This window comes from Homo sapiens, chromosome X (genome assembly GCF_000001405.40).
Source record: "Homo sapiens chromosome X, GRCh38.p14 Primary Assembly".
In the NCBI taxonomy this organism is placed as follows: Eukaryota; Metazoa; Chordata; class Mammalia; order Primates; family Hominidae; genus Homo; species Homo sapiens.
Window position 1 is genome coordinate 41,681,841 of NC_000023.11, and position 17,024 is coordinate 41,698,864.

General features: G+C 39.0%; 2 protein-coding genes and 1 pseudogene across 14 annotated transcripts in view; 1 reads left to right on the forward strand and 2 right to left on the reverse strand.

The window, feature by feature from the left end:
- The window catches only part of CASK (calcium/calmodulin dependent serine protein kinase), a 408,621-nt gene that overhangs the window by 166,907 nt on the left and 224,690 nt on the right, over window positions 1-17,024 (reverse strand). The window lies entirely within an intron of this gene.
- On the reverse strand, window positions 1,328-1,626 carry RN7SL144P (RNA, 7SL, cytoplasmic 144, pseudogene; annotated as a pseudogene).
- Window positions 7,133-15,435, forward strand: GPR34 (G protein-coupled receptor 34). 3 transcript variants are annotated; one of them, NM_001097579.2, is made up of 3 exons: window positions 7,133-7,244; window positions 7,903-7,995; window positions 13,715-15,435. In NM_001097579.2, exon 3 carries the CDS (start codon window positions 13,794-13,796, stop codon window positions 14,937-14,939), a length of 1,146 nt encoding a protein of 381 aa, NP_001091048.1. In that variant the 5' UTR covers window positions 7,133-7,244; window positions 7,903-7,995; window positions 13,715-13,793; the 3' UTR covers window positions 14,940-15,435. The 3 variants fall into 3 exon arrangements, with proteins under 3 accessions (NP_001091048.1, XP_005272654.1, NP_005291.1); XM_005272597.5 differs by having other exon boundaries at window positions 7,906-7,995; NM_005300.4 differs by having other exon boundaries at window positions 7,906-7,995; window positions 13,788-15,435.

Genomic DNA, 17,024 nt, shown 5'->3' on the forward strand with positions numbered 1-17,024 from the left:
TAGGCTGAGGTGGGAGAACTGCTTGAACCTGGGAGGCGGAGGTTGTAGTGAGCCGAGATTGCACCACTGCACTCCAGCCTGGGTGATAAGAGCGAGACTCCATCTTAAAAAAAAAAAGAAAAAGCTGAATTGCTTGATATGTATTGTAGATTGAGGTCTGCAACTGCAATTGGCTGCCATCTCAAGATAAATGAATCCAACATAAGGACCATTGTAAAAAAAAAAAAAAAAAAAAAGGAAAGGAAATTCATGAAGCTACTCCTGCAGCTAACACCAGTAGGTGCTAAAATCTTGCACTTTTTGTGAAATACCTTTTTAAGTAGTATTGAAAATGCAGCTTTTATGTGGGTATAAAAAAGACATACCTATAGATTCTAACATAATTTGAGAAAAAGCGAAATAGCAACTTAAAGCAAAAAGAAGGTGAAGGGGTCAGGTGTGGTGGCTCATGCCTATAATCCCAGTACTCTGGGAGGCTGCGGTGGGCAGATTACTTGAGTGGAGGACTTTGAGACCAGCATGGGCAGCATGGCGAAACCTTATCTCTACTAAAAATACAAAAATTAGCCCAGCATGGTAGCGCGTGCCTGTAGTTCCAGCTACTCAGGAGGCTGAGGCGGTAAAATTGCTTAAACCCAGGAGGCTGACACTGCACTCCAGCCTGGGTGACAGAATGAGACTGTCTCAGGAAAAAAAAAAAAAAAAAAAAAAAAAAAATGAAGGATCTAAAAGCTGGAGAATGCAATGGTGGCAAAAGACAGTTTGATAAATTTTTTTTTTTTTTTTAAGAGACAGGGTCTCACTCTGTCACCCAGGCTGGAGTGCAGTTGGTGCAATCATAGCTTACTGTAGCCTTGAACTCCTGGGCTCAAGCGATCCTCCTGCCTCAGTCTCCAGAGAAGCTGGCACTACAAGTGTGTGCCACCATGCCTGGCTAATTAAAAACATTTTTTGGGGGGTTAGAGTGTCTCGTTATGTTGCCCAGGCTCATCTCAAACTCCTGACCTCAAGTGAGGCAGATAGGCTGACTCTACTGTTTTGTGCAAATGCAGTTGGAATTATATCAGGACTATGCTTATTAGAGTTAGTGTATCCCTTCCTGCCCTAAATCTTGGTGCTTGCTTCTGTTCCTTATTAATAGATGTTCTCTGTGGCATTTTCTTTCCAGAATAGGGCACTTTTCATCCATATTAACAGCCTGTTCAGGCAGATATTGCTCCTCTTCAATACTTTTCTGAATGGCATCTGAGAACTCATCTGCTGCCTCTTTGCTGACAAAAACTGATCCTCCTGTTATGTTGACATTATTTAATTTTAATTTATTTTCAGAGGTGGGAGTCTCGCCCTGTTGCCCAGGCTGGAGCGCAGTGGCTATTCACAGGCACAATCCCACTACTGATCAGCACGGGAGTTTTGACCTGCTCCGCTGACAACCTGGGCCAGTTCACACCCCTCCTTAAGCAAGTTGGTGGTACCCCCCTCCCGGGAGATCATATTGATGCCAAACTTCATGTGGACACCTGATTGGCATAATGCACCACATCCCAGAACTCCTGGGTTCAAGCAAACCTCCTGCCTCAGATTCCTGAGTAGCTGGGACTATAGGCATGTGCCACTGCATCCTGCTATTTTGACATTTTTAAAGCCAAACCTCTTTCTATAATTATCAAACCGGCTGGGAGTGGTGGCTCATGCCTATGATCCCAGTGCTTTGGAAGGTCGAGGTGGGAGGATCACTTGAGGATCACTTGAGGCTCCCTTGATGCATATAACACAAAATATGTGTTAATCAACTATGTTATTGGTAAGGCTTCCAGGAGTAGTTAAGTTTTGGGGGAGTCAAAAGTTATGCATGGATTTTCAACTGTGCGGGGATTAGTACCCCAATCCCCATGTTGTTCAAGGGTCAACTGTAATCTTGGTACCTAATGATACTAACATAATTACTCATTTGCTTTGTGCTTCAGAATGTGTGTGTATGTGTGTGTGAAAGTTTTAAAATAATAGTAATACCTACATTATCAATAACAACACCACTGAATGCTGTTTAAGATTTTGTGGTTCTTTTTGTCCTTAAGATATATCCCACTAGGTATGCCCGGTCAAAATAGCATTTTACTACTGGGTAAAGAATCCATGAGTCTATGCTGATGTAAATAAATAAACAAATACATGAATGGGGAAGGAGGAAAAGCTTTAAGTAGAAAATCAATTAAATGTAGAAGAAATGCTGGAATCTGTCAGTTTTCATTATCGTAACTGATTCAGGTAAGAATCATCAAGGATGCTAACTTGTGAGTGGAAGTTTGAAGAGTGGTAAGATATTTATGTGATCTCTAAATATCTCCCTACAGCATACTTATTAATTACAAACAGGAAACTAGTAATTTTACAAGGGAGAAACCCAGCAGAAACTAGCGAAGTTAACACTGCTTCTAATGGGACTGATTGATAGCATGTGCTTCCTGATATGATGCATTGAGAACTTGGCAACACTGCTGTGGTATTCCTGCCAAAGTACATAACGAGATCTAATCATGAAGGAACCCTGGGCAAACCCAAAGAGGGACATTCTAGAAAGTAACTGGCCTATATTCTTCAAATACAGTTCCAGGTTAAAGTGATTAAAGGAGACTAAAAAGATAGATCTTGTTTTTAATATATATATATTTTCGAGACAGGGTCTCACTTTGTCACCCAGGCTGGAGTGCAGTGGCATGATCTCTGCTCACTGCAACCTCCACCTCCCGAGTTCAAGCGATTCTCGTGCCTCAGCCTCCCAAGTAGCTAGGATTACAGGAGCGTGCCACCATGCCTGACTAATTTTTTGCATTTTTGGTAGAGACAGTGTTTTGGCATGTTGGCCAGGCTGGTCTCGAACTCCTGGCCTCAAGTGATCCGCCCGCCTCATCCTCCCAAAGTGCTGGGATTACAGGTGTGAGCCACTGTGCCCGGTTTGTTTTTATTTTTGTTATAAAGGATATTTACTAGGACAACTGATGAAATTTTAACAAGGTCTGTAGAATACATAATGATATTAGGTCAACATAAATTAACTGATTTTGATAACTGTACTGCAGCTATGTAAAGGAATTCCCTATTTTTAGGAAATACATAAATGGATAAGAGTGAGAGATTGAGAAGGATTAAACAAATGAAGGAAAAAATGTTAACATAGAGAATCTGAGTAAAAGGTATCTAGAATCCTCGTACTTGTTCTCATAACTTTTCTATAAGTCTAAAATTACGTAAAAACAAAACAAAAACCCCTACCCTATTTTAAAAGTTACCAAAAATAATTCTCCTTGTGGTTATGCTTTCACTTTGCAATAGAGTGAGGTTCATTTGTTTCAACTAGATTTTGCCTTAATTTGGTGTTTTAATTGTATAAAACATGTACATAGGTTCTAAAGTACAAACTGTAAAACAGATACTATTCAGAGAGGTCTAGCTTTTGCACTCTTCCCCCACTCCCAATCTTTTCTTCCCCATTGGTAACTATTTTTATCAGTTTTCAGTTTATCCTTCAGTTTTTTAAAAATAAGAAAATATGTACAAATATTCAAAATTTCCACATAACAATATATTCTACAGGTAATTCCATAGTAGTACCTAGAGCTTTTTTGTGGAGGTTTTTAAATTTTTTATTTTATTTATTTTGAGACAGGGTCTCACTGTCACCCAGGCTAGAGTGCAGTGGCACAATCATGGCTTACTGCAGCCTCCACCTCCTGGGGCTTAAGCCACCCTCTTGCCTCAGCTTCCTGAGTAGCTGGGACTACAGGTATGTGCCACCACACCCGGCTAATTTTTGTAGTTTTTGGTAAAGACAGGTTTTCGCCATGTTGCCCAGGCTACTCTCGAATTCCTGAGCTCAAGGGATCTGCCCACCTCAGCTGGCCAAAGTGCTGGGATTACAAGCATGAAGAACTGCGCCCGGCTTTTGTTTCTTAGAGAGACATTTGTATATACTAGCAGAGGTGGACACTGGAAGACAATAAAATTCTCTTCTGAGTGATTCTATTTTCTCAGTGAAATAAAAAGTGATCACCAGGTGGGAGTGAGGAAGGAGAGGGGTTCCTGGCAGTCTGAGAAGAGTACAGGTGTGAAAAAGTATTTTCAAGGAATAGAAGAATGAACTGATTAAGCAGTGGTCCTCAAACCTTAGCATCAGAATCACACAGGCTGCTGAGCCCCATCCCCAGAATTTCTGGCTCACAGGTCTGGGATGAAGTCAGGAACATGCATTTTTTTTCTTTTTTTATTTGAAACGGAGTCTCGCTCTGTCACCCAGGCTGGAGTGCAATGGTGCAATCTTGGCTCACTGCAACCTCTGCCTCCCGGGTTCAAGCGATTCTCCTGCCTCAGCCTCCTGAGTAGCTGGGATTACAGGTGCGTGCCACCATACCCAGCTAATTTTTGTGTTTTTAGTAGAGATGGGGTTTCACCATGTTGGTCAGGCTGGTCTCGAACTCCTGACCCTCAGGTGATCTGCCCGCCTCGGTCTCCCAACATGCTGGGATTACAGGCGTGAGCCACCACACCTGGCCTTTTCTTTCTTTCTTTTTTTTTTTTTTTTTAGGGACAAGGTTTTGCTATGTTGCCCAGGCTAGACTCAAACTCTCAGGCTCAAGTGCTCCTCCCATCTCAGCCTCCCAAGTAGCTGGAACTACAGGCGTACGCCACCATGCCCAGCTAAGAACATACATTTCTAACAAGCTTCTGAGTGGTGTTGACGCAACTCGTTTGGGACCCCTGTTTTGAGAACCACTGGACTAAGGAAATATACTAGGACTGTTGGCAGCCCAGGGGCCCACTTGAGGTTTGTAGTCATGAATTTGAAGTGAGACCAATCAGCATCATTGAGTGTTTGTATCCAGCAGTCCTCATTTTACATGGCAAGGTTCAGGCCTGGAGTAGGTGGTGAGCTGAATTTAACCAGGGTTGGGATTTAAAGAGAACAGTGATATCAGTAATAGATGGCACCAAACAAGCGTATACATTTGTTCTTTTCTACTTCTATCTTAATATAAATACCTTATAATCCCAACAAGAGAAAGAGGAAGCGTGAAGGGAAGAGGACATATCGAAAATGAGCTAAGAACGCAGAGACAAACCAGAATGTTCAGAATGAACAGGAAAAAGCTTATATAAAGAAAGAACTAGAAAAAGATTATACTCAAATCTGGTGGTAGCTGTGCTGACTCACATTGAGGAGAAAATGTGGTCACAATATGAGGAAACTGAAGATTAAAACAATTAGTGTTTTGAAAAGGGTTGTCTTAGGTGTAGGAAAATAATATAGAAAAAAATATATTCATGCTAGATTATATGAAATAGAATGCACGTAGTTAAATGCCTATTTAGTCATTAAAAAATTCCTGCTAGGATCTTGAAGAGATATATGCATACTCATGTTCACTGCAGCATTATTCACATTAGTCAAGAGGTGGAAGCAACCCAAAAATCCATCAACAGATGAATGCATAGGGAAAATGTGGTGCATATACAGTGGAATATAATGCAGTTTGATAAAAGAAGGAAATCCTGTAACATGCTGCAACGCAGATGAACCTCGAGGATATGACACCAAGTGAAATAAACATGTCACAAAAGGACAAATACTGTGTGATTCCACTCATATGAAGTGTCCAAAGTAGTCCAAATCAATGAAACATAAAGAATCATGATTGTCAAGGGCAGGGGGAGAGGAGAGAAATCGTTTAGTGGTGAAGAGTTTTAGTTTTGCACGATGAAAAACTTCTAGAAACTGTTGCACAACAATGTGAATATACTTAACACTATTGAATTGTATACTTAAAAATGGTTAAGATGGGGCTGGGCGCAATGGCTCACACCTGTAATCCCAGCACTTTGGGAGGCTGAGGTGGGTGGACCACCTGAGGTCAGGAGTTTGAAACTAGCCTGGCCAACATGGCAAAACCCTGTCTCTATTAAAAATACAAAATTAGCCGGGCATGGTGGTGCATGTCTGTAATCCCAGCTACTTGGGAGGCTGAGGCAGGAGAATCGCTTGAACCTGGGAGGTGGAGGCTGCAGTGAGCCGAGATTGTGCCATTGTACAATCTCTTGTCGCCTGGGCAACAAGAGCGAAACTCCGTCTCAAAAAAAAAAAAAAAAAAAAAAGTTAAGATGGTAAATTTAATGTTACATATTGTACCACAATAAAATAAAATCCTGCCAATACAACAATATTGCAGGACTAATACAGCAACCACCTTCCTTCTCAGAGGTTCTAAGGGGAAGTAAGAGCTACAAAACATTTTTATTCTATTAATTTAAAAATATCCTGTCCCATAAATCATATTTATAACAAACAAAAAGCTCTGGAGAATATAATGTTCAGAAGAGTGTACCCAGAAATAATTAGAATGTTAGATACAGCCCAATGAGTCAAATATTTAGTGCAAACAAGCTGCAGGATAACAATTATGGGGAGAATAAAAACTAACTTCTTCATTTCAAATGACAACAAAAAAAGGGAAATAACACTAAACTGCAGGGCCAGCAGTTACATAGATGGACAGATAGTGGTTAAATTTTGGACTAGGATCAAAACCAAGACTGCAGAATCCCATCATTATTTCGCTTAAAATACAGGTGATGTTTTAATTTGCTCGGGAGAGTTTATCATAGTGATCAAAAGGGGAGAACACCATCAGAAATCTCATCTAGTCCTAATAATACAAGTTTGTTTTAGCAAAGGTCTTAAAGGAATACATGAAAATATGCTAAAATAATGTACAGATGAAAACTTAAGAAACAGAAATTCAGTGCTTGTGCTTTGAAAGTCCATATAGCATATTATGTATCATTTCTTACAAAACACAGAAAATACATATTTCTGCTTAGAATTTATAAAACTTTTAAATTTTGAGCGGGGGGAGGAAAACATTCCACAATTGTCAAGTTGGAAGGTATTCATAAAGAAGATATAAATAATTTCCTAAAGTTCAGTGTTGGTTGAGCTTAAAGTTGTTCCATGGTAGTAGGGCTTTTTAATATTTTCAAAAGGAATCTGAGAGTTGTCATACCGAAAAAAGAAAAAAAAAAAGAGGGGGAAAAAAAAAACCCTACCACCACATATGAACATAAAAAAGAAGAGAACCCCAACCAATTGCACCACGACCGGATGGAAGAGCCCAGCTGACACAACCAAGACGAGTCTCAGTGTCTAGGGAAGCTTGGGGTTCTGCTCCTTTTACTTCAGGCGAACCTGAACTGTGAGTATTTCTTGATTTCGGCTACATAAATGAACCTTTATTTCAGCTAAAATTTGATTATCTGAACATTCAAAGTGAAACGTGATTCATGGTGATAAGGCTACTCTAATGTCAGCAGTTATTCGCTTTTAGAACTACTGAGTAAATTGCTTGAATGACACCTCTGCCTTGATTTCAAATGAGACTGTCTTTTTAGTTACTTTAAGTACTTTAAGACATTCAAGGTATTTAAGCTCCTACTGTCAATATAGTCACATTGTTGATACTGCATTTGGATACTGCCATCAAGATTTTGCAGATCTACTTGCATGAATTAAAAGTTATTTTCATATGCAATACATTTTATTTCTAATGTATTATAAATTATAACTTATTGACTTTAAGTTATGCTGTCTCCCTATTTTAAATTACTGTCTTTTCTTTATTATATTATTACTATTTTATAGTATTACCAGACCATATAACATTTAAGTTTGGTGTTTCAGAAGTAAATAAGGTGAATATTAGATAAGAGAGAAAGCAAAATATGCTTTAGTTCAAATAATAATTTTTTAAAATGTGTTTCTAGGGACACAGTTAAATTTGTAACAAAACCTAACACACTATTAATAGTATTATTTCCAAAGTAATATGTTTTCAATTTTCATTTTTTATACAGCAGTTAATGCAATTTTGAAGCATGCCCTGAATAGATTCAGTCATTATCAAGTCAAACTAAAAACGGTGAAAGGTTGCGACTATTACCAAATAGGTATGTATTTCAACATAGCAATGTGATATTTTCACAAACATACCCAAACTGCATTTTAAAAGCTTCTGCTCATCTGGAGTCACAGTGGAATCTGTTGGGTCCTGCCCTCTGGGTCCAGTACTCCTACATGAGCCAGTTGAAAAAAAACTGCAGGAGTAGGTGGTGGTGCGGGGGTACAATGCACTAATACTAGGTTTTTGAACTTGTGAATAGGATTTGCCAAGTAACAACATTTAAAAAACACTATCTACTATTACAAAACTATTGTGACCACTTCAATATAGCACATGGGTCACAAGTAATGCCCACTGGGAAATTAATCCCCTATGTAAACACAGTGGTTTGTTTCTTGTCTTCACAAGCAATTCTTAACATATCAAACAGGTAGTTTAAAAAATATCAGTAAATAGCCTTATATAGTGAATGACATTGTAATGTACTAACCAACTTCAAAGGAGAAAAAAAAACAGTCACCAAGTTTAAAACAGAATGTAATTGTGATTTTTAATTAAAAAAAAAATTTTTTTTTGAGACAGACTCTCGCTCTGTTGCCCAGGCTAGAGTACAGTGGCATGAACACAGCTCACTGCAGCCTCTGTCTCCCGGGTTCAAGCAATTCTCCAGCCTCAGCCTCCGGAGTAGCTGGGACTACAGGTGCGTGCCACCACGCCCTGCTAATTTTTTTTTTTTTTTTTGGTATTTTTTAGTAGAGGCAGGGTTTCGCTATGTTGGCCAGGCTGGTCTCGAATTCCTGGACTCCAGTGATTTGCCTGCCTCGGCCTCCCAAAGTGCTGGGATTACAGGCATGAACCACTGCTCCCGGCCAATTTTTTTTTTTTTTATGTTCTTTTTTTTTGAGACAAGGTCTTACTCCGTCACCCAGGCTGGAGTACAGTGGAGTGATCTAGGATCACTGCAACCTCTGCTTCCCAGGCTCAAGCGATCCTCCCACCTTAGCCTCTCGAGTAGCTGGGACTATAGGCGCACGTCACCATACCCGCTAATTTTTATACTTTTTGTAGAGACAGGGTTTCACCATCTTGCCCAGGCTGGTCTAGAACTCCTGAACTCAAGTGATCCTCCCACTTCAGCCTCCCAAAGTGCTGGGATCACAGGCATGAACCATGGCGCTCAGCTGTCAATTTGTGAATCAATAATTGTATGCTAGCTGTCTAATACATAGTTCTAAATGATGGCCACTATTATAACATAAACAAATGCACTGGCTTTGCTTTATGCTCTTTAAACTGAAGACTAAAGCAAAACCAGAAATGCTTACTGACAGATTTGTCCAACTATTACTTATTTTATTTGCAGATTAGAGCTGAGGCAAATGGTTTCAGGATATGTGCTTTGTGCTAACAGCTTTCTGGAGACATCTTGATTATGGCTATCGGGTCTAGAAGTTTAAAAAGATATGCTCTGTGGGTAGTGGCAATCATTCTGATGAATGATTTGTGATTCTGTAAACTCTGGATTTACTTCCTTATAATAATGGACATAGCAAATAAGATTAATACCCTTTCCAAAGAAGTAAAGCTAGATGGCATAACCTGTTCTTAAAATTGTTAAAGTGTATGTTAAAGGAATCATGTCAAAATACTGCTGATAGAACTCAATATTAATAAAGAAAATGCTGACCCTATGTGATAAGGAGTGAGATTTGGTGAAAAGCATCATGGGCTCTAAAAGTCAGATCTGAGTCCTAACTTGGGCACTGTCATTTAAGAGTTGTGTGGCCTGCCGGGTGCGGTGGCTCACGCCTGTAACCCCAGCACTTTAGGAGGCAGAGGCGGGCGGAAAATGAGGTCAGGAGTTCAAGACCAGCCTGGCCAACATAGTGAAACTCCGTCTCTACTAAAAATACAAAAATTAGCTGGATGTGGTCCCAGCTACTTGGGAGGCTGAGGCAGGAGAACTGCTTGAACTCGGGAGGCGGAGGTTGCAGTGAGCTGAGACCATGCCATTGCACTCCAGCCTGGGTGACAGAGTGAGACTCTGTCTCAAAAAAAAAAAAAAAAAAAAAAAAAGAGTTGTGTGGCCAAGAGTAAAGATCATAACCTCTTGAACTTTCTTTCTTTCTTCCTTTTTTTATTTTAGAGACAGGTTCATGCTATGTTGCCTTGGCTGGCAGGCTGGTCTTGAACTCCTGGTCTCAAGTGATTCTCCAGCCTCAGTCTCCCAAAGTGTTGGGATTACAGGCGTGAGCCACTGTACCTGGCCAACCTTTTGATCTTTCATTACCTCTTTTGTGATACCTACCTCACAGAGTATTGCAAGAATTATGTAAAGGAAGTAATATAAATGTGTTTAACACAGTGTCTGGTACACAGAAAGTACTAAATAAATATTAGTTAATGGTTTGGCCATCTAGCTTAAGAGTTCAATTCTGACTGCACATTAAAATCCCCTAAGGAGCTTTTAAAGGAAACCAGTGCCTGAAACCCATTCCAGACCAATTAAATCAGAATATCTGGGGAAGGAGCCAAGCACTGGTATCTTTAAAAAACCCTCAAGAGGATTCTAATATGCAGCCAGGATTGAGAACCACTGATAATCCCTTCTACAAAGAACCCAATTGGTGGTAGTCTCAAAAATCTCCAGTGGTAAGATCCTTATATTGCCTCCCAAGAGAGATCATTTCATTAGAAAAAAATGATTTCCTTAAAAGGAGGCAACATCTGTCTCTGCAATTTCTATCATTGGTTCTTGTTTTGCTTTGTGAAGACACATATAACAAAGTGAAACCCTTTTCTCTATGGCTTTGTAAAGCATTCTCATCTCCAGGGTAACGTGCCTATTTCCTTCAACTTGCTTCTTTGACATGATTTGAGTTCTTCTCTCCATTTGGTCCATGGCCTTTTCTAAGTGTGCTGCTGTGGATCAAACACTGCATTCCAGGTGAGACCCTACCAGCCTGGGACAGAAGCAGCATAGTAGTAACAATTTTCATTTCAGACATCACGTATCTAGGAATTCAACTAAAGATGGGTTTTTCGTTGCCACCACACTACGCTAGTGATAGAGCAATTGCAATTGTGTTTGTTAATGCAGCTAAAGCTCTTCCTGTACTTGTACAGCTGCTTTTAATATCCACATGTAGAACTTCATATACATTTCTACTAAATTCCCTCTTTGATTTAATAATATTTATTATGCTAAGCATTAGGTACAGAGAGCCGAACAAAATTGACTTGGTTCTTAATCCTAATGGAACTTAAATTCTAACATGAGAGAAGAAAAAAAATCCAAAATAACTACTCACAGGTGAGTTTTTCACGTCATTTCAGCTACTTGAGCTCTCAAAATCACATTACTTCTTGTGCCTCAATTCCCTGAACCTATGAGAGCTCCCTACATAACCACACAATATAGGTGGTTCCTCTACAGACACCCTTTTCCTTTTCCTGGTAATGCAGGTTGCATTATCAGTTTCATTTTTGGTAGCCTGACATTCTTTCTAGATTGCCCTTTCCTTTTAGAATCTTAGATCACAGGTTGGGCATAGTGGCTCACACCTGTAATTCCAGCACTTTGGGAGGCCGAAGTGGGCAGATCACCTGAGGTCAGGAGTTCGAGACCAGCCTGGCCAACGTGGTGAAACCCCATCTCTACTAAAAATACAAAAATTAGCCGGGCATGGTGGCGGGCGCCTGTAATCCCAGCTACTCGGGAGGCTGAGGCAGGAGAATCGCTTGAAGCCAGGGGGCGGAGGTTGCAGTGAGCCGAGATCACGCCATTGCACTCTAGCCTGGGTGACAAGAGCAAAACTCTGTCTCAAAAACAAAACAAAACAAACAAACAAACAAAAACCAGAATCTTAGATCACAAGAAACATGCCTATACCTTTCTATAAACTTTCTGAAATTTGTCTTCCTGCAGTTGAGACACATGACAGACTAGACTCAGTCCTTCCCCGCTCCCTTCCTTTCTCCCTCCACTTTCCTGAATTCTGGAAACAGGCTCTTACCAGGGATTACATAACTTCCTCTTCACCAGCCAGTTCCTCTTCTGTGGAATCAATGCTCCCCAACTTTACAACATTTTAAATCTTAATGTTACCCTCTACCAAAATGCTTTGTTTTTAATCAAATTATGTGTAGAGCTTTAAGAAAGGCTATTTTTCTCTGTGTATAAGATCAAATCAGGGACTTAATTTATGTAATTCAAATCCACTTTGCATGGTAGCAGTCAGGGTTTGAATGTCCACTCCTCCAAAATGTTTACTAATAGGGTCTCTGTCTTATTCACCTTCCTTTCCCACACAGTACTTAGCCAAGTGTGAGATATTTACTAAAATGAGATTAATCAAAAGGTGTTTATTAAAGCTAACTTTTATTAAGCAGTCACTATGTGCCAGGATTAAGTTCTTCTTATGCATTTTTCATTTTCACAAATGAGAAAACTAAGGCATAGAAAAGATTAAGTTATTTGCCCTTGGTCACAAGTTAGTTGGGTCTGATTTTGAGAACCTTGCTCTGGGCATCTTTATGTTAACCCTGCTAAGTGGCTGCTGTAGAGAAATAGGGCAGTCACTCTATGAGAGGAATGTGATGAGACCTCCAGAAATGCTTTCTTTACTTGTTATGACCAGCTCTCAGACTAAGCTCTTTACAGCAGTCAATGGGCCAATAATAAGTAGCTTTGCAAATATTCTCTGCTGCCACAAACAAGTAGAATTCAAACACTATCTCTTCGAAGGTTCTAGCAAGTCTCAAATTATTGAACCCAGGGCACATTTAAGCTTTGGTCAGGTTACTTTCAAAATCTTGGATTGCACATGCTGTTTCCCATCTACGTTATTACTCTATGCTTCTAGGTTAGGAGTGGCTAACTGGCAGCTGCCAGCTAACTTGGTTTTGTTTGGTTACTTTTTTCTCCTGTCCAGTGATACAAGAGTCTGTGTAACCTTGCAGGTGCTGTATTCTCTTAGTCTATTATGTTAATTGCATGCCCTAAGACCCCTACCTTGGTCTTAGGCTGAAAAGAAATTTAGGATCCTCTTCTTTATTCCCACTTATAGAATGAGACCACCACAAGTCACACGCCATGTAGCAATACATGTCAAAATGAATGAATGCCACATATGAGGGAAAAAGTCAAGGCAGGAAGTGGTTCTGAAGCTGGGCAGGGCCAGCAGTGGGCCCAGCTCTCTTATGGCTGTACATACCTTTAGAGAAACTGATGCTCATCTTTGAGAAATATGAGCTGTCATTTCTCTTCACCACCATCTGTATTCCCATAAGAACTTCCCTAAGAGAAGATGATCTCATAAATTGAGTTATTTTAATATAATACATGAAACAGAACTTCAATGTAGGCCATGGCCACAGGAAAGGTTAGAGCATGAAACTCCATGAGATACCACACTATGTGCTGCTTGTTTAATGATACAATAATGTTACTACATACAGTAGGATAAAAGTAAAGTTTCTCGCAATGTCTGAAAATAAATCATTTATTATTTACACTGTCTTTTTTTTTTTTTTTTTTTTAAAGAGATGGGGTCTTGTTCTGTTGCCCAGGCTGGAGTGCAGTGGCTCAATTATAGCTCACTACAGCCTTGAACTCCTGGGTTCAAGCAATCCTTCTGCTGTAGCCTCCCGAGTAGCTAGGACCATAGGCGTGTGCTGGGAAGCCCAGCCTATTATTTACACTTTTAGTTAAAGTAACTGTTATTAAAATAGCAAATGACTCAATGTTTGGCATTCCGTTGTAGGAAAAATCTGAAGACATAAGAACTACACATGAGGAATATGTCATTTAGCACTTTCACTTTTTGATCTCCACAGAAGACAATGAGAAGTCATACCATAACAATGACGACAACTTCAGTCAGCAGCTGGCCTTACTCCTCCCACAGAATGCGCTTTATAACCAATCATAGCGACCAACCGCCACAAAACTTCTCAGCAACACCAAATGTTACTACCTGTCCCATGGATGAAAAATTGCTATCTACTGTGTTAACCACATCCTACTCTGTTATTTTCATCGTGGGACTGGTTGGGAACATAATCGCCCTCTATGTATTTCTGGGTATTCACCGTAAAAGAAATTCCATTCAAATTTATCTACTTAACGTAGCCATTGCAGACCTCCTACTCATCTTCTGCCTCCCTTTCCGAATAATGTATCATATTAACCAAAACAAGTGGACACTAGGTGTGATTCTGTGCAAGGTTGTGGGAACACTGTTTTATATGAACATGTACATTAGCATTATTTTGCTTGGATTCATCAGTTTGGATCGCTATATAAAAATTAATCGGTCTATACAGCAACGGAAGGCAATAACAACCAAACAAAGTATTTATGTCTGTTGTATAGTATGGATGCTTGCTCTTGGTGGATTCCTAACTATGATTATTTTAACACTTAAGAAAGGAGGGCATAATTCCACAATGTGTTTCCATTACAGAGATAAGCATAACGCAAAAGGAGAAGCCATTTTTAACTTCATTCTTGTGGTAATGTTCTGGCTAATTTTCTTACTAATAATCCTTTCATATATTAAGATTGGGAAGAATCTATTGAGGATTTCTAAAAGGAGGTCAAAATTTCCTAATTCTGGTAAATATGCCACTACAGCTCGTAACTCCTTTATTGTACTTATCATTTTTACTATATGTTTTGTTCCCTATCATGCCTTTCGATTCATCTACATTTCTTCACAGCTAAATGTATCATCTTGCTACTGGAAAGAAATTGTTCACAAAACCAATGAGATCATGCTGGTTCTCTCATCTTTCAATAGTTGCTTAGATCCAGTCATGTATTTCCTGATGTCCAGTAACATTCGCAAAATAATGTGCCAACTTCTTTTTAGACGATTTCAAGGTGAACCAAGTAGGAGTGAAAGCACTTCAGAATTTAAACCAGGATACTCCCTGCATGATACATCTGTGGCAGTGAAAATACAGTCTAGTTCTAAAAGTACTTGAGGTAAACATACTAAAATGAATTATATAATGCAGCCTCTTAATTCTTTGAAGAACTAAAAAATTAGGAAACAAAGTTCTAGCATTTACAAAACTCAGATCTCAAAGCTCTGCTTGTATTTGTGATATTTCATTTGCTTAACTGTAAACCATTTCAAGGTACTAACTTTTAAATCTGTATGTAAAATCTTTTCAAAATACATTTTTAAGCTAATACTCTTAACATAGATTATGAAGTTAAGTGAAATTTATGGCTCTAACAGCAAAATAATTAAAGTGCCATAGTTTCTCAAGTGACTAAAGTAGTTATTAAAATCAAGCACTTGATACTAATTTGAAGTGTGTTTAAAAGTAAATGATTTGGGAACTGACAATGTGTCAGAAAATATATGTTCATTTATCATTTTAAAATCTTGTATAATTTGCCACTGTATTCATTTATGCCTAAATCTCTATAACAGATGAAAAGATAATTAATAAAATCCTAATTAAAAAATGAGATCACCCACTATCTATCACTGCTTAGATAAAAAGGGAAAGAATTTAAATACTGTATAGTAAAAATTAACAGATAAGCTAACGATTCAATAGCCTAGCAATAGGTCTTAAAACCACACCTTACTTAAAACAGGTTTATAAACAATAGGGTCATTTCAGCCACAGTTTGATAAAGTAACATTGAACATGCATATTCTGTGATCCAGCAAGTCATCTACAAGGTATACATCTTACAGAATCATTCAAATACGTACACAAGAAACATGTAATGATGCTCAGTGAACTAACATTCATAATACGAAACAACTGGAAATAAGGACATAACAGCAAAGGCATGGAGAAGTGAACTGGTTTACTCACGAAATGGAATATCATGTAGCGATGCAATGAAATGAACTACACTCACATGCATCAACATGGGTATATCTCAAATATAATGTTGAGTAAAAAAAACCCCACAAAATTGCAAAAGGGTATGTACTGCATGAAATCATTTATGTAAAATATAAAAACATAAAACAATACCACATTCTTTTTTTTTTTTGAGACAGAGTTTCACTCTTATTGCCCAGGCTGGAGTGCAGTGGCCTGATCTTGGCTCACTGCAACCTCCACCTCCCACGTTCAAGTGATTCTCCTGTCTCAGCCTCCCGAGTAGCTGGGATTACAGGCGCATGCCACCACGCCCGGCTACTTTTTGGATTTTTAGTAGAGACGGGGTTTCATATGTTGGCCAGGCTGGTCTCGAACTCCTGACCTCAGGGTGATCCACCTGCCTCAGCCTCCCAAAGTGCTGGGATTACAGGCATGAGCCACCGCGCCTGGTAGAAAACAATACCACATTCTTATGGATCAATACATATAAAATAAAGATACAAAACATGTATGATAATATATACAAGATACATACCAACTTAATGGTTATATCTGGAGAAATTTGAAGCAAATATGGCAAAATGTTAATGTCTTAAATCTAGGTAGTAGGCACGTGATTATATTATTTTTGGTAAACTCCTGGGTATTTGAAATACTTTACAACAATAAAAACCTGCAAATTAGAATTAAAAGGAGCAAACTCTGCAATTTTCATGTACATTAAAAAATAACAGGACAGCAAGCTCTAAAAGAAAGCGGTCTTAGTCTTGTTCGTCATTGCCTCCCTGGAGCTTAGTATGTTTCTTGGCTATAGGAGATCAATACACATTTATTGAATAATTAAGAAGAATGGACGGATGAATAAGATAGGGAGAAAGGGAAGGAAGGGGTGCTTACAAGAAAAAAAGTTGGGAGTAATTAGCTTTTTTCCTAGTCCATTTGAATATAGCTGTATAGAACACCATACAGTTGCAATCTAGGGGGTGTCATTAGGCAAACATTCTTGAAAGTTTGGCCAGCATTTGTCCAGTTCTTTGGTCATACACAGAACCTGAATGTTATTGACTGAATTTATGTAAAAGCATCTTAGGACAAACTCCAAGGACTCATCTGAAAGTTTCTATCATGGTGTATAAAATTTTTTTAGAGTCAGAATACTTCTTAAAACTTAAGGTAGGCCATTGGCTGAGAAATCAATGTGAATGACCATGAAGA